Here is a 21,845-nt window from a genome sequence, read left to right on the forward strand (position 1 = left end):
CCTATCTCGGCTTGCAAGAAACGGTATAGGTGGAGGCCTCTTTCAGTGTATGCCGGCGCTCTAGGTGAACCGAGACATAGAGGTGGAAGTGGAGTAGAAAGACGGGGCCAACCGGAAGGGGAGGGCTCATGGGCGAACCCACCCCTCCAGGCAGGGTTTCGCCCCTCGCCCCGCCCCTTCCCCCGCCCGGACGGCCATGGCCATTCCCGGCATCCCCTATGAGAGACGGCTTCTCATCATGGCGGACCCTAGAGATAAGGCGCTTCAGGACTACCGCAAGAAGTTGCTTGAACACAAGGAGATCGACGGCCGTCTTAAGGAGTGTGAGTGCACCTTTCTTTCCATTTAATCAAGTGCCTCGACTCGCTTCTGCCTCTGACAAAGCAGAAGCCTTTCGCCGAGCCCGGCAACCGAGCCTTAGAGATGACCAGGCCTAGGGCCAGGGACAAGGCGCTTTGTCATCCGGCCCTGAGCTTGTGGAGCAGCACTCCTTCGGGTGTAGAAATGGCCCAGTCCAGCCCGGGTGACAGAACATCGGCGGCCTTGAGGTGAAAATGAAAAAGAAGTAGAGGAGGAGTGGGGAAGTGGGCCGAGGATGTTTCCCAGGTTAGGGTGCAAGAAGGGCAGTCTTGGTGGAGTCCCGGGACTTGGAGAGGGGAAGGCGCTTGAGTCAAGTAAGCTCAAACAAGAGATGAGACTCAGGGAGTCGGCTTGTTCTTGGAGTCGAAAGACGGCCGCGGAGCTTAAGAGAGAAGTGTTCCAGTTGTCATAATAACCCATATCGTCTTGTGTTTCGTGTTGTACTGTATCAGGCATACAAATTTCCCTTACCTCCTGAGTGCTTAACTTTTTTTTCCAGTGCATTTTCATTGAAAAGCATGAGTAGTTTAATTAAATGGAGGACCATAATTACATGATTCTGTGGAGAACTGCATTTGTTGACTTTATTTAGGGTAGAATGTCAGAGAACAATCCACGTGGGTAGGTGAAGAGGTGAGGAAGGGTCTAAGTGATTATCATTCGGATTTGTAGTCGCAAATCCTAAGTGTCAGGGTGTCAATATCTTCTAAGACTATAACTTAAGATGTGCTTAAACAAGTATTGCCGATCAACAAAGTAAAAGTATGGTGCTTTCTCTGTAACATTTTGTTGTTATACATGCCACCTACTCATTACAAACAGCATTATTTCTTTTATGGTTTGAAACAGTGGATGTGAAACTTAGGTAAAGTGAAGTAGACTTACGTAAACAGTAAAGTGAGACGTAGCGACTTAAACACACTAAGATTACTGTTCAATTAAAAATGTTCAAATTGTATTATTTCAGTAAGGGAACAATTAAAAGAACTTACCAAGCAGTATGAAAAGTCTGAAAATGATCTGAAGGCCCTACAGAGTGTTGGGCAGGTAGGTGATGGAGTTTGGGGAATAGGGGGTGATGGTAATTTGCTTTTTTATTTAGCTGTTGCCAAAAAGTAATGCTTTTTATTTTCTTCCTTAGATCGTGGGTGAAGTGCTTAAACAGTTAACTGAAGAAAAATGTGAGTGATGAATTAGCTTATTAATTAGTAAAGAAACAGTCCACCTCTCTCTCACTTTTGAAATGCTTATTATTTTAATGACAATAATGCAGAGAGAGAGAGTATTTTTGAATAGACTTAAGTTTTCCTTCAACTAATGTCTCCTTGGAGGACAGAAATACAACTAAACCCTCTGTCAACGTGGGTATGTATTTTTTTACTTTCTATTTTTCAATTAGTTCTTTTATGTTTTTTCTTCTAGTCATTGTTAAAGCTACCAATGGACCAAGATATGTTGTGGGTTGTCGTCGACAGGTAATACTTTATATTTGTATAGTGCCTGATGATTGACAAAGCAGTTTCATGTAAGTTATTGTCTCTAATTCTTGAGGCAAGCAGGTGGAGCATTTATGCCCATAACTCACAAGGATGATTTGTTCAGACATAGCTAGTTATTAACAAAGCCTGAATTCAAACCATGGGCTTTGACTCCTGGCATTCCGTACTTTCTACTGTATTACATTGTCTCAGTCAGATCTGTTAATAGCCACTTAGAAATAAAAGTATTTTAGAACTGGAAAACAGACATTTTATTTTAATGTCATTTTTAAAGAGGACTTAAAAGTGTTAGATATCATCAGTTACCTGTGTTTATATTTAGACATTCAGAACTGTTACTTATGGACTGTACCATGGCCTAAGTTAATTTTGTATGAGGTCATTTAGATTAGGGTAGGGCAAGTTGAAATAATTCTAAATTTTATTTTACAGTTATCAAAGATGCCAACAAATGACCTCAAGTCATTCAGTAGTGTCTGAAATCAATTTATGTATTATTCTTTAGGAAGTGTCCTTAGATAATTCTTTTAAATTCATTGGAAGAGTTTTCTCTGTTTAATTGTCATTTCAGGTTCAGGTTTTAAAACATTCACAGAACATGGCTGTAAGGGAGAATTTAATCCAGGAACTATAAATCTCCTATTAGGATTTTGCCTAGTATATAAGCGGTTGACATTTTCTAAGTCAAAATATTAGATACCTAAACTGACAAGGGATTTTCATGTCCCTTTCAGGGCTCTGTGGATGCCGAAAGTTGGCATTTCTAAGATATTTCAGGTTGCATGAGGACAAGACTGTATTTGAAGACTAAAAAACATTAGAAAAGCCGAAGTATATATAAGTTGAGTATCCCTTATCCAAAATGCTTGAGCCAGAAATGTGTTTTAGATTTTGGCTTTTTTTTTTTCAGGTTTTAGAATATTTGTGTTGTACTGGTTGAGCATCCCTAATTAAAAAAAATCAAAAGTTTGAAATGCTCCGATGAGCATTTTCTTTGAGCATCATGTCAGCATTCAAAAAATTTCACATTGTGGAGCATTTTGGATTTTCAGATTAAGAATACTCAGCCTGTATTTCCTATAGATGTAAACATTGAAATAGCTTCATATTGATTTCTCCTCTTATTTTTTCAAGTAACCTCACTTCTTAGCCGTTTTTTCCTTAATTGTTATATTAATCCTAGTGTTTTGCCTATCTTCCTAAATTTGAAGCTCTTTGTAAAATCCTGTGACAAGTGGTCAGTAATTTATATGATTCCGAAATTGTATTGGCACGCAGTTTTTTAAACTATTAAAAAGTAACTTGGGTCGGGCGGGGTGGCTCATGCCTGTAATCCCAGCACTTTGGGAGGCTGAGGTGGGCAGATCACGAGGTCAGGAGATCAAGACCAGCCTGACCAACATGGTGAAACCCCGTCTTTACTAAAAAATACAAAAAAAAATTAGCCGGGCATGGTGGCACACACCTGTAATCCCAGCTACTTGAGGCTGAGGCAGGAGAATTGCCTAAACCAGGGAGGCAGAGGTTGCTGTGAGCCAAGATGGCGCCACTGCACTCCAGCCTGGGCGACAGAGTGAGACTCCGTACTCCATCTCAAAAAAAAAAGTAACTTTATCTTTGAAAAGTAACAACATCCTGAGAGTGAGGCAGATCTAGTAGATTCTAATTTTAGCCAGATAAGCCAAGAAATTATTTAGTATGATTCAACCTAATGTGTAATGTGTTCAGCATGTGCCTGTCATGTAGCAAAGGCATGAGTGATGGTTGCTGGGTTTTGGGGCTTTAAATTTAAAGCATTTTAATAAAAATCTCTAAGGGGAAACCGTGCATTTTTCTCTACTCTCATGAGCATTTAACACATTCTTCCCAGAAGCTGTACATTTCAAAATAAATCTGATGAGCACACCTTTAAAATGCTTCCCTTTCCTTTCCCTAAAATGTTCACTAAGGGATTTTTCTATAAATGCTTTGGTAGCAATTCCCAAAGTCACTGTACCATTGCTGCCTCAAGCTTTGTGTGTTAGTCATTTCACATTTTACACTGAGATTACACAAAGGGGCATGCTTTTAAGGAGCAGGTGGAAATCACTTTGAATTACTTATTTTATAAGCCATTTTGTTAGCATAGAGTTTATAATCTGATATTTGTGTTCTCTCTGGAGGGTAAAAATGAGTGTTTGGCTTCTAAATATTAAACTCTCGTTAGAGTGTTATTCCGTTTTTAAGTGTTGATGTAATATCTTTTGTTTTACAAAACTAGCTTGACAAAAGTAAGCTGAAGCCAGGAACAAGAGTTGCTTTGGATATGACTACACTAACTATCATGAGGTGGGTTTCTTATTCTATTTAGTTCACCTTTTATTTTCACAAAGGGTGGTTTTTATCTGAGATATATGCTTCTTGAGATCACTGAATATTTTGGCACTTTTTCCCTTTTACTAGTTTCTAATTAAGCACATCTTTATGAGATCAGCTACAGGTGCTTGCTTGAGCAAGTTATTTATATGCTATCTGTAGGCTAAGAGAAAATATATCTTTCAAAAGAAAAATACATACCTTTTCATTCTAGATATTTGCCGAGAGAGGTGGATCCACTGGTTTATAACATGTCTCATGAGGACCCTGGGAATGTTTCTTATTCTGAGATTGGAGGGCTATCAGAACAGATCCGGGAATTAAGAGAGGTTGGTACTGTGTGCCTTGTTCTCTGAACTTAGCTAATAAATACTACTAGTTTTAGGATTCTTAACAGGAGAAACAGGATGAAAAAGTACTTTTTGTCTAAATGGTAGTTAAGAATATTATGTATTTACTATTCTTGCTAAGAAGAATAGCACTGAATTTCTAGCTGTGAAAATTACTGTTTTTTTTTATTTGGAGATAATTTGGTGTTAGAAAAATCCTGCTCTTTTTGTGGCAAAGGAACGGAGAAAAAGCTAAAAATAATTGATGTAATCTGATATCCTGTGGTTTTGATTATCATAATAAGTTACTTGGGTCAGAGCATATTTGGATAATGTGTGTGATGAGTTTTTTCCATAACCTCATTAATACTAGCTTCCCACTCTTACAGAAGAGTAGGGTACCTGTTCCTTAAATATTTTATTTTGTTAAAGCTGTTTGCTGCCATTCCAGAAAACCACTGGCTTTAGGATTGTCTTAAATCTTGTAAGCTTTTAGGTGAACAGTCAAATCAGGATTGCCTTACTTCATAGCACAGACAGCTTCTTAACTGTTATCTGTAAAGCAAATTACATTGTCCTATGGATTTTATCCTAAATTAGGCTGTGAATATTTAGGAATTAATGGGAATAATTGGAATGTCTTACACAATCTGATTTAAGCTTTAAGCCAGTTCTCATACTTCAGTACATTAATTTTTTTTGGAACACTTATTAAAAATACACATTACTAGGCCCTCTGAGTGGTTTTGATGGACTAGATTGGGGGTAGGCACAGGAATTAGCATTTAAACAAGCATTCCAAGTGATTATGAAACCAAATTTTTCTTTGACAATACTTGAGGAAGCACTGGTCTAAGTGTAAAAAAAAAAGGCAGTTCTCACCTGTATTAATGAAAGGGCAACAGAGGAAGAACAGGTGCTTCATAAAACGGTGAAAACTTGCTTTCAACAGTGATTTGCTGCATTAGCCATAGGAGCAGAAAGAATCCCATGTATACATGCAGTATCCTTTACTGTCTGCAGATACTTTACACTTTAGAGTATTGATTTCTCTCACTTCTGGCTTTTCCCAGTCACGCTTTATGCACATATGGACACAACTTTTTTTTTTCTTTTGAGACAGGGTCTGGTTCTTTTGCCCAGGCTGGAATGCAGTGGTGCAGTCTCAGCTCACTGCAACCTCTACCTCCCAGGCTGAAGTCATCCTCTCACCTCACCCTCCCAAGTAGCTGAAGGCATGCGCCACCACATGTGACTAATTTTTTTATTTTTTGTAGAGATGGGGTTTCACCATGTTGTCCAGGCTCTTCTCGAACTCCTGAACTCAAGCCATCCTCCAGCCTTGGCCTCCCAAAGTGTTGGGATTTACAGGCGTGAGCCACCGCACCTAGCCCAACACAACTATTCAATAGAAATTTCTCTCTCGGTCAGGCATGGTGGCTCACGCCTGTAATCCCAGCACTCTGGGAGGCTGAGGTGGGTGGATCATCTGAGGTCAGGAGTTCAAGACCAGCCTGCCAATACAGTGAAACCCCATCTCTTCTAAAAGTACAAAAATTAGCCAGGTGTGGTGGTGGCGCCTGTAGTCCCAGCTACTCAGGAGGCTGAGACAGGAGAATCTCTTGTACCCGGGAGGCAGAGGTTGCAATGAGCCAAGATCATGCCATTGCACTCCAGCCTGGGCAACAGACTCTGTCTCAAAAAAAAAGAAATTTCTCTCTTAAGTTACTGGTACTATAAGTAATTTAAATTGGACTTTCAGATCTTCAATTTCTCTAGTCTCTACTTTTCTTCCTTGAATCAGTCTTGAGAGCAGAACATACTGTTCTTTAAAAGCTGCCGTGGCAAAATGCCAACAGATAAAAATTGTATATACCTTTTCTCTTGGTATGTTGTCAAATCCATCCCCCATTTTAGAATTATTTTGTGTTGTATTTTCAAATGCAAACTAGTATAGATCTTTTGAGTTGTGTTTTTTGTTTATATGTTCATTTGACTTAACTGATTTTTTTGTGGTATAATTTTTCATTGAGGTATAATTACATTAAAAAAATGTAGATTCTTAAGTGTACATTTCAAATATGTTTGGACAAGTTATATATCTGTGTAACCATCACCCCAATCAAGTGTGTGGTTTATTTAAAAAACATTATTTGAAATTTTTTAGATTTAAGAGATCTTAAATCTACCTGGAGCAAAACCTCTTAATATAAATGGTTTTACCTAGCATGGAAGTCTAGGTCTATTAAGAATTATGATGTGTACACCTAACTAAGGTGATATTTGACTTAGAGTATTTGAAAGTACATTAAAAATCTTGACTAACTTTTTAAGAAAGATTTAACTTCTTTTCTAGGTGATAGAATTACCTCTTACAAACCCAGAGTTATTTCAGCGTGTAGGAATAATACCTCCAAAAGGCTGTTTGTTATATGGACCACCAGGTTGGTATTGAATTATTTCTACTCCACCAATAAGATAAATGAATTAAGGAATTAAAAAAAAAAAGACAATTTTTTTATTTTTATTTTTTTGAGACACGGTCTCACTCTGTTGCCCAGGCTGTAGTGCAGTGGCACAATCTGGGCTAACTGCAACCTCTGCCTTCCGGGCTCAAGTGATTCTCCCACCTCAGTCTCCCACGTAGCTGGGACTGCAGGCGTGCATCACCATGTCTGGTTAATTTTTGTATGTTTTGTAGAGAAGCAATTTTGCCATATTGCTCAGGCTATCTCAAACTCCTGGACTCAAGCGATCTGCCCACCTTAGCCTCCCAAAATGTTGGGATTACAAGCATAAACCACTGCGCCTGGCCATAAGGTGGAAATTTGATGTGGGCAGTTCCAACTTCTCCTCTCTTCAGAGTGAGAATGAGATAGGATATTTATGTCTACTGTTCTTTGAGGCATGCTTAGTGCATTTGTGCCTCACAGTACATTTATCTTAACAGGCCATGTGATTCTAGTGCAACAGTCCTCAAATTGTGGTTCACAGACCCAGAGGTGCTTTCATGGACTCTGTAAGGTCAAAACTACTTTATAATACTGAAATGTTAAGCCAGGCGCAGTGGCTCACACCTGTAATCCCAGCACTTCGGGAGGCCGAGGCAGGCAGATCACCAGAGGTCAGGAGTTTGAGAGCAGCCTGGCCAACCAACATGATGAAACCCTGTCTCTACTAAAAATACAAAAATGAGCCAGGCGTGGTGGCGTGCACCTGTAATCCCAGCTACTCGGGAAGCTGAGGCAGGAGAATTGCTTGAACCTGGGAGGCAGAGGTTGCAGTGAGCCGAGATTGCCCCACTGCACTCCAGCCTGGCTGACAGAGTGAGACTCCTTCTCAAAAAAAAAAAAAAAAAAAAAAATTTTTTTATATAAAGCAAATGTACCTATAGCATACTGCTTGACATATGTAGCCCCACAATGACACAAAACAAAAAACTAAAATGTTGTTTGGCTCTTCCACTGTGTTGACATTTGTGCTGATGGTGCAAGAGCACCATGGGTAAAATTAAATTACTTGCACTGTAGTGTGAATCAGCATTAGTGGCATGAAACGGTGCTAGTTAGTAGCCATTGCGTTCTTGACTGCCACATACTTGCAGTGTAAAAAAAAAAAAAGTCAGTTTCACTATAAAGTCCTTGGTGAAACAGTAAAAATTATTAATTTTGTTAAATCTTCATCTTTGGGTAATATTTTGTGTTCTTCATGATAAAAGGGAAAATAAATATAAAGTACTGCTGCATATTGAATAAGATAGTTGTCTTTAGGAAAAGCACTTGTGCAGTTATTTAAGTTGCCAGCTGAATTCATTGCTTTTTATGGAATACTATTTTTGCTTGAATGGACCATTTACAGATATGCTGTGATTATCAGACTGGTTATTGGTTATTAGTTATTGATTACTCAAGACTGGTTTTTGGTTATTTGGCGCACATTTTTTCCAAAGCGAACAAATTAAGCCTGTCATGTTAAACAACTGACACCATCTATTGCCATTGATAAAATATGAAATGTCAAGTGAAAATTAGAATTTTTAGAAACATATATCTGGCACTATGTGGTTGAAGCTTTTTCTTTTTTTCTTTTCTTTTCTTTTTTTTTTTTTTGATAAGGTGTTACTCTGTTACCCAGGCTGGAGTGCAGTGGCGTGATCATCCTGGCTCGCTGCAACTTCTGCCTCTTGGGCTCAGGTGATTCTTCCACCTCAGCCTCCTGAGTAGCTGGTACTACAGGTGTGTGCCACCATGCCAGGCTAATTTTTGTGTTTTTAGTAGAGGCAGGGTTTTGCCATGTTGCCCAGGCTGGTCTTGAATTCCTGGGCTCAAGCAACCCGCCCACCTCAGCCTCCCAAAGTGCTGGGATTACAGGCATGAGCCACAATGTCCAGCCACGGCAGCTTTCTAATATATTAATACTTAAAGACTTTTCTGATGAGATAAGTGGTGAGAATAACAAAAATTTTTTATAATGTGTGGTGGAAAATGTCAACATTTGGAAGATTTGCATAACTCAACCAGTAGTTTCCAAATAATCAATGCTTGATATTAAAATATTCATAAGTAAAAGATCCAGTCAGTGCACAGGATAGACCAATGTATTTTAATGTAACAGAAGTTTCTGTCATAGTCCATGTTGTAAGTAGATAGCTATTATAAAAAAGACAAAAGTGTTTGCAAGATGTAGAGAAAAGAGAAAGAACCCTTGTACACTACTGGTGGGAATGTAAATTAGCACAGCCATTTTTGAAAACATGGAGGTTCCTCAAAAAACTAAAAATAGAATTACCATATGATTCAGCAATCCCACTTCTGGGTTTATATCTAAAGGAATTGAAATCAGTGTGTCAGAGATAGCTGCACTCCCATGATTATTTCACAATAGCCAAGATATAGAAACAGCCTAAAAATTGCCCATCAATGGATGAATGGATAAAGAAAATGTGGTAGCCGGGTGCAGTGGCTCATACCTGTAGTGCCAACACTTTGGGAGGCCGAGGCGGGCGGATCACCTGAGGTCGGGAGTTCGAGACCAGCCTGACCAACATGGAGAAACCCCGTCTCTGCTGAAAATACAAAATTAGCTGGGTGTAGTAGTTCATGCCTGTAATCCCAGCTACTCGGGAGGCAGAGGCAGGAGAATCACTTGAACCTGGGAGGCAGAGGTTGCAGTGAGCTGAGATCATGCCATTGCACTCCAGCCTGGGCAACAAGAGTGAAACTCCATCTCAAAAAAAAAAGAAAAAGAAATGTGGTAAATACACACATTGGAATACTATTCAGCCTTAAAAAAGGAAACTCTGTCATTTGTGACAATATGGATGAATCTAGAGGATGTTATACTAAGTGAAATAAGCCAGACACAGAAAGACAGTTACCACATAATCTCATTTTCATGTGGAATCTTAAAAAATTGAACTCGTAGAAACCAAGAGTAGAATGGTGGTTACCAGAAGTTGTGGTGGTGTATGGGGATAGGGGAGATGTTGGTCAAAGGATATAAAGTTCACTTAGACAGGAGGAATAAGTTCTAGGTGACATATTGCATAGCATGGTGACTATAATTAATAATGTATTAGCTATTTCAAAATTGCTAAAAGTAGATTTTAAATGTTCTAACCACAAAGTAATGCTAAGCATGTGAGGTGATGGATATGTTGATTTGCCTGATTTAATCATTCTTCAATATATACATGTATCATAATTTAACCCATAAATATACAATTTATTTGTCAATTTAAAATAGATTTTAAAAATTATAACATTTTGATTAAAATTTTAATGTTGACAGCAGAAGTACTTTGGAATTTTTTTTTTTTTTTTTTTTTTGAGACAGAGTCTTGCTCTGTCACCCAGGCTGGAGTGCAGTGGCGAGATTATAAGCTCACTGCAACCCCCACCTCCCGGATTCAAGCGATTCTCCTGCCTCAGCCTCCCCAGTAGGTGGGACTACAGGCATGTGCCACCACGCTCAGCTAATTTTTTGTATTTTTAGTAGAGACGGGGTTTCACTGTGTTTCGATCTCCTGACCCTGTGATCTGCCCGCCTCAGCCTCCCAAAGTGCTGGGATTACAGGTGTGAGCCACCACACCTGGCCAAGTACTTTGGAATTTTAAATGAAAATTCTATTTAGGATTTAGCTTTCATTTTGGAAAATTTACTTGCCAAACGATTATATTCTTAAAAGGATTTTAAAAATTTGTTTCACATAGGCCGGGTGCGGTGGCTCCTGCCTGTAATCCCAGCACTTTGGGAGGCTGAAGTGGCAGGATCACCTGAGCCCAAGAGTTCAAGACCAGCCTGCGCAACACAGAGAGACCCCGTCTCTGAAAAACAAACAGACAAACAAAAAACTTAGCTGTGCGTGATGGCACATGCCTGTCATCCCAGCTACTTGGGAGGCTGAGGTGGGAAAATCGCTTAGGTCTGGGAGGTCAAGGTTGCAGTGAGCTGTGATCTCGCCACACTCCAGCCTAGGTGACAGAGTGATTGCCTGTCTCAAAACAAATTTTTTTCTACCTTACCATCTAATTAAGACTTCTTTTGTCATTCTTAGGTACGGGAAAAACACTCTTGGCACGAGCCGTTGCTAGCCAGCTGGACTGCAATTTCTTAAAGGTAAAGGGAAGATTATTTTGTACTTATTGAAATTTAATTTTACTTGAATTATCTTATATTTACCTTACTGTTTTTCCTTTAATCAGGTTGTATCTAGTTCTATTGTAGACAAGTACATTGGTGAAAGTGCTCGTTTGATCAGAGAAATGTTTAATTATGCTAGAGATCATCAACCATGCATCATTTTTATGGATGAAATAGATGCTATTGGTAAGAATAACACCCTTGTTGAAAGTTTTAGGACTTTTTTTTAAATGTAAAAGAACCTTTTTCCCTCTCTTAATCTGTAATTGTGACTTGTATGAAGTAGATACCACAATGAATCAGATGTTAGTTTAACCAATTTTAATAAATAACCTTTCATGGCCGGGTGTGGTGGCTCATGCCTGTAATCCCAGCACTTTGAGAGGCCAAGGTGGGCAGATCACCAGGTCAGGAGATCGAGACCATCTGGCCAACATGGTGAAACCCTGTCTCTACTAAAAATACAAAAATTAGCTGGATGTGGTGGCACATGCCTGTAATCCCAGCTACTGAGGAGGCTGAGGCACGAGAATCGCTTGAACCCAGGAGACGTAGGTTGCAGTGAGCCGAGATCACACCACTGCACTCCAGCCTGGCGACAGAGCGAGACTCCGTCTCAATAAATAACCTTTCACTTTAACAAAATGAGAAATGTTACACCAAAATCAAGTCTAACTTTGTCAGCATAATTCTTGCTCTTTAATTTTCATCTTAATGTTTTAAGCCACAGACTGTTATGTTCTGTTTTCTTAAATGATGGTTGTAGAGGAAAAGAGTAATGCATATAAATTTCCAAATCTACTATCTTAGGTGGTCGTCGGTTTTCTGAGGGTACTTCAGCTGACAGAGAGATTCAGAGAACGTTAATGGAGGTAATATTTGGTAAAGGGGGTTTATAAAGAAACCAATGTTTATTAAATGAAGAACTGAACATTGCATATTTGATAGTCAAAATATATAGAACATTTTAAATGAAATATGAAATTTGAAAATATTGTCAGGAACAAACATGTTTCTCTATCACAAACTCTAAGAAAATGACTACTGGAAAATAAGGCTATCTGCCAAATTCCATTTGGTATACACCTGTACTATTCTGTGTTTTTTTGAGTAGATCAGTCATTCATATATTTAAATTCTTATGAATGTGATCTTGCGGTAGTTTTATGAAGACATTTTTTGTAATGGTCATATTAAGACTGTTGGCAATAAATGAGCTATAATTATGTATGAAGCTGCTCTAAAAATTATTTTTTTCTCTCACTTTATTGCTGAGACTGAGGCAACTAAAATAGTTTTGATAATTGAAGAGGATAGATGACAGAATGAAAGAATGCACATAAAGCCTTCCTCCAGTTTTACCTTTCCCCACTCCAAATTCTGTGAAAGTGATATCAAGAGTCCAAATACATTTTCCACTTCAAATAGAAACTAGGTAGCATGGGTAATGCAGTGTCAAATTCTTTCTCCTTAGAAGTATTTGAAAAATCTTTTTTCATAAATTATACAGATCCGCTCAGAAGATAACATAGCATTTGGAAATTATAAAATCTCTTAGAAACCTTAAATTGAGATATTTTTAAATAACACAAATACTCATTTTATTCAAGTAACTAATATATCATCAACTAACACATTGTCAGACTAGCTATATTTTAGAGAGTTTGTTAAATGCAGTAAGGTTTTTCATTTATTCAAGAAAACTTTAGAAATTGAGGACAATATTTTTTATGTCTTTTAGTATTTCTGTGTACAGTAGAATTATTTGAAAAAATAGGCCAGGCATGGTGGCTTCTGCCTGTAATCCCAGCACTTTGGGAGGCCCAGCTGGGCAGATCATGAGGTCTGAGCATTGAGACCAGCCTGACCAACGTAGCGAAACACCATCTCTAGTAAAGATACAAAAATTAGCTGGGCGTGGTGGCGTGTGCCTGTAATCCCAGTTACTCAGGAGGCTGAGGCAGGAGAATTGCTTGAACCCAGGAGGTGAGGTTGCAGTGGGCTGAGATCGCCCCATTGCACTCCAGCCTGGGTGACAGAGCGAGAGTCTGTCTCCAAAAAAAAAAAAAAAAAAAAAAGCAGTCCCAGCTACTCAGGAGGTTGAGGTGGGAGGACTGGTCGAGCCCAGGAGGTGAAGGTTGCAGTGAGCGATGATCAGGCCACAGTACTCCAGCCTGGGTGACAGAGTGAAACTCTGTCTCAAAAAAAAAAAAAAAAAAAAAAAAAAAAAATTATCAGTTTATTATCAAATTTGTAGAAAAATCTTTGTATCCATTTATCCTAATATAAATGTTATGTCTGACATATCATAAGCACTTTATATATTGGATTTTATTATTAGCTTTTCCTTTAAAAAATAATTGATGAAATTTTGGACATTGGAAATTAGATCCACATAGTTTAATTTCATAATTCTTGACATGATGGAAGCCTTCAGATTTATTAAAACTACCTGGTAGCTATAGAAAGATACATAGCTATTAAAAGGTACATAATCTAGCTTAGAACTTTGAGGCTAGAAAGTATATCCCTTTATATAAGAGAGAGAAAAAGAATTCTATCAAATGACCATTCTGAAGATAGAACATATCTATCTGTAGACAATACATTTCATGGCATTAGACATATAAAAGGTGTGTGCTATTTTTTTTAATGGTTAGAATTTTTGTAAAATCTGATTCTTAATATTCTTAGTTACTGAATCAAATGGATGGATTTGATACTCTGCATAGAGTTAAAATGATCATGGCTACAAACAGACCAGATACACTGGATCCTGCTTTGCTGCGTCCAGGAAGATTAGATAGAAAAATACGTGAGTTAAGATTCTTTACCTACTGTCCATTTCCCTTTGTGCCCATTTCTTTTTCCATACTTCACTTCACCTTCCACTGTATTTTAAAAAAGATAAAACTGGACTATAAAATAATTTTTTATTTTCAGATATTGATTTGCCAAATGAACAAGCAAGATTAGACATACTGAAAATCCATGCAGGTCCCATTACAAAGCATGGTGAAATAGGTAAGGAAGTCATCTATTTTATATGTATTTACATTTGGTAAATGAAGAAAAATACTTTTAGAAATTACTGATAGTTTCCTAAATCTGGTTTTAAATTCAGCAAATGTGGTGGTTTTAAATTCAGCAAATAGTTATTGAGCATCTACTATAAGCTAGGAACCATTGTAAGTGTTTTGTAAGGGCTGACAATATAGCAAGGAACAAAACAGACAAATTTCTGCCATTAGAGAACTTATATTCTTGTTAGGAAAAAACAGATAAAGTTAGTAAAACAAAGTATAATAGATGATGATAAGTGCTATGGAGAAAAATAAAGCAAGAAAGTGGGGGGCGGGCATGGTGGCTCACTCCTGTAATCCTAATGGTTTTGGAGGCCGAGGCAGAAGGACCGCTTGAGGCCAGGAGTTTGAGGTTGCAGGGAGCTATGATCATGTGACTGCACTCCAGTTTGGCAAGACGCTGTTTCAGGGGAAAAAAAAAGAAAAGGGGGATAGGAAATTAGGGAAGTGCCAGGACCAGGCATGAGGATATGTTTTTAAATGACAGGGAGGATTAGCACAGGGAAGGCCTTACCAAGAAGGTAATTTATTTTTTAGAGACAGGGTCTCACTCTTGCCCAGGCTGGAGTGCAATGGTGTGATCCCAGCTCACTGCAACTTCTGCCTCCCAAGTTCAAATGATCCTCACACCTCAGCCTCCTGATTAGCTGGGACTACAGGCACACACCACCAACCCTGGCTTGTTTTTTTGTAGGGATGGGGTTTCACCATGTTGCCCAGGCTGATCTTGAACTACTGGGCTCAAGCAATCTGCCCACCTCGGCCACCCAAAGTTCTGGGATAACAGGCGTGTGCCACTGCACCCGGCCTGGTTGTTTGTTTGTTTGTTTTTTAAATTGATTCCTGTTAAATGCTGACAATAGGTCAGATAAAGAGTTCTCAGAGTAGACCTTTGGATTTAACTATATGGAGGTCATTGGTAATCTTGTCAAAAGTAGCTTCTTGGGAGTGGTGGAGGTGAAAGCCTATTTCAGATGGGTTTCAGAGAGATTGGGAGGAGAGGCATTGAGTTTAGACATTTCTTTTAAGAGTTCTACAGAGGGGGCAGAAGAAGTAGAAGGGGAATGCCGATGAGGAGTTGGCAGAGTTTTCTATAAGATGGAAGAGTTTATGACCCCCCTGCCCTTTTTTTTTTTTTTTTAATAATGCTACTGGGAATGACCTAGGAGAAAGAGAAATTGGCAATGTTCTTTCCTTGAAGAGGGATTGGCCCTATATATATGTGTACTTTTATGAGACTGGAGGAAAGGCAGAGTACATAGATGCTTATGATGACAGGTTCTTAGATAGTGCAGGAACTTGTGGAAGTGTTTTTTTCTGAATGCTTCTGTTTTCTCAGTGAAGTAGAATGCACGTTCAGAATGAAGATAGGGAAGTGTTCTTAGAGATTTGAGGACAAAGGAGAAGGTATAAAGTCATTATCTATGGAAGTGAGGGATTGGACTAGGGTGCAGGCCAGTAAAACATGGCTTGTGAACCAAATTCTGCCTGCCCTGTGTTTTTGGAAACACACAAAGTTTTGTTGTAACCCAAGCATGCTCATTTATCTGTTGTCTATGGCTGCTTTCCTACTGGAATAGCTGAGTTGAATAGTTACAACAGAAACCATATGGCTTGCAAAGCATACAGTATTTACTCTCTGGCCCTTTACATAAAAAGTTTGCTGACCTCCAGACTAGGGAAATCTAGTATAATTTCCAGGCAGCCTTAAAAACTCTTTAGAAGTTAATGGTCCAGAATAATGACAAATAGCTGATTGTTGAATTTCACTATCTTCATTGCCCCTGTTAGAGAGTTTTGAGCTGGAAAGACCGAACTGAACAAAGGATGTCAATGTATAGGTTTCTTCCACAAATACTGAGCTCTTGCTAGATGCCAGATACTGTGCTAGCCTTGGGAATTCTTGCTCTCAGGAAGCTTACAATGAACTTAAACCTGATTAAAGACAATTCATGAATATATGTGTGATTTCAAATAGAGAACGACATGCCCTATATTGCCTGACCAAACGGTGCATCATCAAAGTTATTCAAACTGTAGTAGCCTGTGCTGTCTTACTTCTCTTCCTATTCTGTATCAGATCCATTGTTGCTACCCCAATCCTATAGCTCTTTGATTCATGTCTGTTATGTGGGTGGATGGAGAACTCACTTTATTACTGCTACCATAGATCTGATACTTCACCACTTGAATCTTGCACAGAAACCAGAGAAGCTAGCTAATGCATGCTGTAGCATTTAAAAATTCCATGTGATACAATTATGTATGATTACATTTCAGTTTTGCTATACTTTATATTTGGCTTGTATGATTAAAGTAAACAAAGTAAATTCCATTGTTATAATTGGTTTTGAGTGTTATAGGTTTATTCAAATCCAAGATTTGATTACAGTTTTGATAAGAGTCACAGCTTAACAGGTATCTGGAGTTCACATGTGCATAGCTATTTCACTGTATAAAAATAGATTAAGATATTTTGAGATTTTGGTGATATTTCCTGTTTTTAAAGTTTCAGGGGTGTGTCTAATTCTTCTTGGTGCTGGTTTATTTAACAGAAGTCTTAGTTTTTGGATATTAATATTGTGGAAAGTTAACAGAGCTGATGTCTAGCTGATCAAACTCAAAGTAAGCTCTTCAGTTTAAATTTTCGATGTGGGCATAAATCAAGTAAAGGTCTAATTTTTAAAACTAATTTCCAGTATTTTTTCTAAACAGATTATGAAGCAATTGTGAAGCTTTCGGATGGCTTTAATGGAGCAGATCTGAGAAATGTTTGTACTGAAGCAGGTAAGGGTTTAAAGTACAGTTTTACTATTGATTTTGATTTTTAAAATTTGCTGAAACTGTTTTGAGTTTATCTGAAAGCGGAGCATAGACTTTGCAAGGATTTGGGTTCATGCTGTTCTTTTAGGAATCGATTCCAGGAAATAGGAGAAGCAGGGCAAGTGAGATGGAAAGAGGGAAAGCTAATATGAGGGTGCACCATTGAGGTAGGTGCTGTAGGAAAGGGAGGTTAGATCTCAGAGAAGCATACAGAATGCCTTCCAGGATCACCCAGCTGAAAGTTGGGAGACTAGAACATTGATTTACCAGTACTCATCCCCCATTGGATGAGATTTGTCCTTGGTAGTGTTGACTCCTTTGCACTTCTACCTGCCTTAGGGCAGAATGTGGAAGGAGAGGCATGTAATAGAACACTGGCCCCCTAAAGTAAGTCTGAGGTGCTACAGAATTGCCTACCACACCTGTGGCTGGAATTAGAATGGGCCAGCACCAGAGGTATCTGCTGCAAAATGAATTGTGTATGTTGTCTAATACTAGTCTGTGAGCAGTGTTTTGAAAGATTGATTTATGAATTATGTGATCATGCCATTTGTGTAAAATGTAGTATTTAAATATAATTCTCTGTGGATTGTGTGATACTATTTTTTTCACTTCTACATGGTATGTAAAAATTGTGTGATGCTATTTTTATTTCCAGTACCAAGTAGCTTTAATACCCTACCTAGAATCATTTAGTTTTTGTCTTCCATACAGAATCTTTAAATAGAAAAAATAAACTTCTACAGTATAGTTACTGACTTTATAGGTTATAGATTTTCTTAAGTATTAGAATATGTGATTTCCTCTTGCTTTTCATATCATGTTTAGCCTTAGTAAATTCAACACAGTGTTTAAAGTGGCTGCTCAGGGAGGGCTTCTCAGTACAGGTATCTTCATGGGTATTGGGTATGCTGTGAGTCAGTATCTGCATCAGATATGCAGGTCAGATACTTCTGTTCACGTCTAGAAATGCTGTCAATGCAAATTAGGGTAAATCATGCTCACAGAGCGTTATCAATAAACTAAACTATTTAGAGGTAAACTGTCATATAGCTTGAACAAGTTAGAGTAATTTATGACATTCTCTTTCCAAAATGTAAACCAGACCAAATTATTATCAGAAGATTGCTTTGGTTAGATTGTAATCCAAATGCAAGCTGTGCAGTGAACCTAAAGGCTGTTGCTATCAAAATATACGCTTTTTTTCCTTACATATTCTTACAAATTTACCTTTAGTTATTGCAAATGAGCTATAACTTCTGTGTGGATTAAAATTGTAGTTCTTTTTTAACTAGGTGGGACATTCACATCTGGAAACATACTGAAATTTTTATCTTCTTTTTAGACTTGAAGGCTTTTTTGTTAACATTTTTCGTAAGTTAAAATACACTTGATTCAACTACAGTTGCCCTTCCTGTTCAGGTCCTGACATTATCTCTTTTGGATTATAATACATCTCTATTTTATTTTTTCTTTTGAGACGGAGTCTCACTCTGGCCCAGGCTGGAGTGCAGTGGCATGATCACTGCTCCCTGTAGCCCAGACCTGATCATTTCTCCTTTATCTTCCAGTAGCTGGGACTATAGGCGTGCGCCACCACACCCAGCTAATTTTTGTATTTTTTGTAGAGACGGGTTTCACCATGTTGTCCAGGCTGGTCTCAAATTCCTGGGCCCAAGTAATCCACCCACCTGGGCCTCCCAAAATGCTGGGATTACAGGCACAAGCTACCAGGCCTGGCCAGGCATCTCTTGTGCAGATTTACTTATTCACTAAAGTGATTTGGAAAATAGCCATGTGTGCAAGGTTTACAAAAATAACTTACCTAGTTTCACTGTAGCTTTCTAAACAAGTTTTGAAACTTTGTTATTTTTTAAAAATCAGTCATTTCCATTCACCCGGTTTCTAGGACAACATAGATTGTTTCCTTATGTAGAAATCTAGAAAGGAAGTAATCCTTGAAATCTTCTATATTAACTCCCTCATTTTATGTAAGTGAAAATTCAATACAGGCAGATCCTCAGTGGAAATTTTAGAATTCATTTAATTAGTAGATAGCAATAAACTTACCTGCTTTAGTTTATCATGAGTTAGGATTATCTCAAAATCTGGGACCCATATCCATAACACAACTAATGTTTAAAAAACTGCATACAAGGAAACTTTTACCCCTTTGTCAAATACTGTTTGAGAAGGTACTTGTCAAAAAGTTGAAGGAAAAAATTGAGTTGTGATACTCAAATATGAATCAAATAAAAATACCAATTTGTACATAAATTAGGTAAATTTTAACACATGAATAATGACTCCGAGTTTTGCTAAAACCCGCTGTTGGCTTTCTATATGATTCCCTATTCTCAACGTTTTTGATTATTAACAAAGAATGGCTATCAAACTTACTCAAGATTTTTTTTCCCCCATAAATGTGTGCCTTCCAGCAAATTGCTTCCTGTCAAGTTAAGTTACGCTTAAAATGTGTATGTGTTGGTAGTTTTGATTGCTTCGGTTTTTTATGCTTGTTTTTATTAAGAGCTACAATCAGATACAGGGACCATTTAAGCCTGATTTTATTTTATTTTATTTTTTTGAGACAGAGCCTCACTCTGTCACCCAGACTGGAGTGCAGTGGTGCGATCTTGGCTCACTGCAACCTCTGCCTCCCGGGTTCAAGCGATTCTCCTGCCTCAGCCTCCCAAGTAGCTGGGGTTACAGATGCCCACTACTACGCCCAGCTAATTTTTGTGTTTTTAGTAGAAACGGGGTTTTACCATGTTGGCTAGGCTGGTCTCGAACTCCCGACCCCAGGTAATCCGTCCACCTTGGCCTCCCAAAGTGTTGGGATTACAGGTGTGAGCCACCGTGCCCAGCCTTGAACCGGATGTTAAATATTCATATAATGGTCATACCTGTTTTTGTTTTAGAACATAATCACAACACCGCTATGGATTTTTTTTTTTTTTTTTTTTTGAGATGGGGTCTCGCTCTGTTGCCAGGCTGGAGTGCAGTGCCACTATCTCAGCTCACTGCAACCTCCGCCTCCTGGGTTCAAGCCATTCTCCTGCCTTAGCCTCCCGAGTAGCTGGGACTACAGGCGCGCGCCACCATGCCCAGCTAATTTTTTTTTTTTTTTGTATTTTTAGTAGAGATGGGGTTTCACCGTGTTGGCCAGGATGGTCTTAATCTCTTGACATTGCAATCTGCCCATCTTGGCCTCCCAAAGTGTTGGGATTACAGGCGTGAGCCACCGCACCCGGCCTGTGGATTTTAATTGAAAAAAGATAGTGGTTTTTAGCAAATTACAACTACTGGCTCAGAAGTAATAAATCTAAGCTTCACATTTATTCCATAGAATTATATTGTTTTTCTTATAATGAACATATAATTCATATGTGATATATAGCAGTCATGTTGTTTTATTCTCTACAGGTATGTTCGCAATTCGTGCTGATCATGATTTTGTAGTACAGGAAGACTTCATGAAAGCAGTCAGAAAAGTGGCTGATTCTAAGAAGCTGGAGTCTAAATTGGACTACAAACCTGTGTAATTTACTGTAAGATTTTTGATGGCTGCATGACAGATGTTGGCTTATTGTAAAAATAAAGTTAAAGAAAATAATGTATGTATTGGTAATGATGTCATTAAAAGTATATGAATAAAAATATGAGTAACATCATAAAAATTAGTAATTCAACTTTTAAGATACAGAAGAAATTTGTATGTTTGTTAAAGTTGCATTTATTGCAGCAAGTTACAAAGGGAAAGTGTTGAAGCTTTTCATATTTGCTGCGTGAGCATTTTGTAAAATATTGAAAGTGGTTTGAGATAGTGGTATAAGAAAGCATTTCTTATGACTTATTTTGTATCATTTGTTTTCCTCATCTAAAAAGTTGAATAAAATCTGTTTGATTCAGTTCTCCTACATATATATTCTTGTCTTTTCTGAGTATATTTACTGTGGTCCTTTAGGTTCTTTAGCAAGTAAACTATTTGATAACCCAGATGGATTGTGGATTTTTGAATATTATTTTAAAATAGTACACATACTTAATGTTCATAAGATCATCTTCTTAAATAAAACATGGATGTGTGGGTATGTCTGTACTCCTCCTTTCAGAAAGTGTTTACATATTCTTCATCTACTGTGATTAAGCTCATTGTTGGTTAATTGAAAATATACATGCACATCCATAACTTTTTAAAGAGTATGATTCAACGTAATATTTGCTAATATGTGACTGGGTTTTCTTGGTTTATGTAAGACGATAGGTCCCTGTTGAGGATGTGGAGGTCTGGACCCTCTTCCAGGAAAAATTCTAACATACAATTTTGCGTATACTATAATTTCAGGAAATTTATTGTTTCCCAAGCTCATCCAAGGACTCTTTAGGTATGTATGGATACCTGGCTAAGAGTGTATGATGTAGGGGATGTAGGAGTGTCAGAAATGTTCAAAACATGATTTCTGTTACCTATACATGATTCTTATATCATCTGGCAATAAAAGCTATAACAAAGTACACAAAGGAATCATCATTGGGCATCAATAATTATTAAAGATGCTGGTGAAAAGAAAAGACAACTTCAGTTTCATAAACACTAAAGAACCAAAAATACATGACCTAGCTAATTATACAATAATTCTTCAAATTAAAAACTTCCTAGCAGGATATTATGTGCCTTTTTATAATTTTAGAAGATGAACAGTTAAAATAGAAAATGGAGTGGTCAAGTTAGCCATCTCATACTCAAATTA

The 21,845-nt window shown here is 38.0% G+C and overlaps 1 protein-coding gene across 5 annotated transcripts, besides 2 other annotated features; it reads left to right on the plus strand.

Annotated features, from left to right (window-relative positions):
- Nucleotides 219–21,609, plus strand: PSMC6 (proteasome 26S subunit, ATPase 6). 5 transcript variants are annotated; one of them, NR_158967.2, is made up of 15 exons: nucleotides 219–323; nucleotides 1,328–1,407; nucleotides 1,502–1,541; nucleotides 1,783–1,835; nucleotides 4,120–4,187; nucleotides 4,429–4,543; nucleotides 6,900–6,987; nucleotides 11,100–11,161; nucleotides 11,248–11,371; nucleotides 11,996–12,057; nucleotides 13,880–14,000; nucleotides 14,129–14,209; nucleotides 16,824–16,893; nucleotides 16,984–17,055; nucleotides 20,518–21,609. NR_158967.2 is itself a non-coding variant. In NM_001366414.2 (14 exons), exons 5-14 carry the CDS (start codon nucleotides 4,165–4,167, stop codon nucleotides 20,634–20,636), a joined length of 867 nt encoding a protein of 288 aa, NP_001353343.1. In that variant the 5' UTR covers nucleotides 219–323; nucleotides 1,328–1,407; nucleotides 1,502–1,541; nucleotides 1,783–1,835; nucleotides 2,594–4,164; the 3' UTR covers nucleotides 20,637–21,609. The 5 variants fall into 5 exon arrangements, 4 of the variants coding, with proteins under 4 accessions (NP_001353343.1, NP_002797.4, XP_047287562.1 ...); NM_001366414.2 differs by lacking the exon at nucleotides 16,824–16,893 and having other exon boundaries at nucleotides 2,594–4,187; NM_002806.5 differs by lacking the exon at nucleotides 16,824–16,893.
- Nucleotides 260–509: an enhancer, noted in NCBI's record as "active region_8394". NCBI's record gives its function as "activates an Ori minimal core promoter by ATAC-STARR-seq in GM12878 lymphoblastoid cells {active_cell/tissue: GM12878}" and the evidence as "EXISTENCE:reporter gene assay evidence [ECO:0000049][PMID:35858748]".
- Nucleotides 530–579: an enhancer, noted in NCBI's record as "active region_8395". NCBI's record gives its function as "activates an Ori minimal core promoter by ATAC-STARR-seq in GM12878 lymphoblastoid cells {active_cell/tissue: GM12878}" and the evidence as "EXISTENCE:reporter gene assay evidence [ECO:0000049][PMID:35858748]".

This window comes from Homo sapiens, chromosome 14 (genome assembly GCF_000001405.40).
Source record: "Homo sapiens chromosome 14, GRCh38.p14 Primary Assembly".
Classification (NCBI taxonomy): Eukaryota; Metazoa; Chordata; class Mammalia; order Primates; family Hominidae; genus Homo; species Homo sapiens.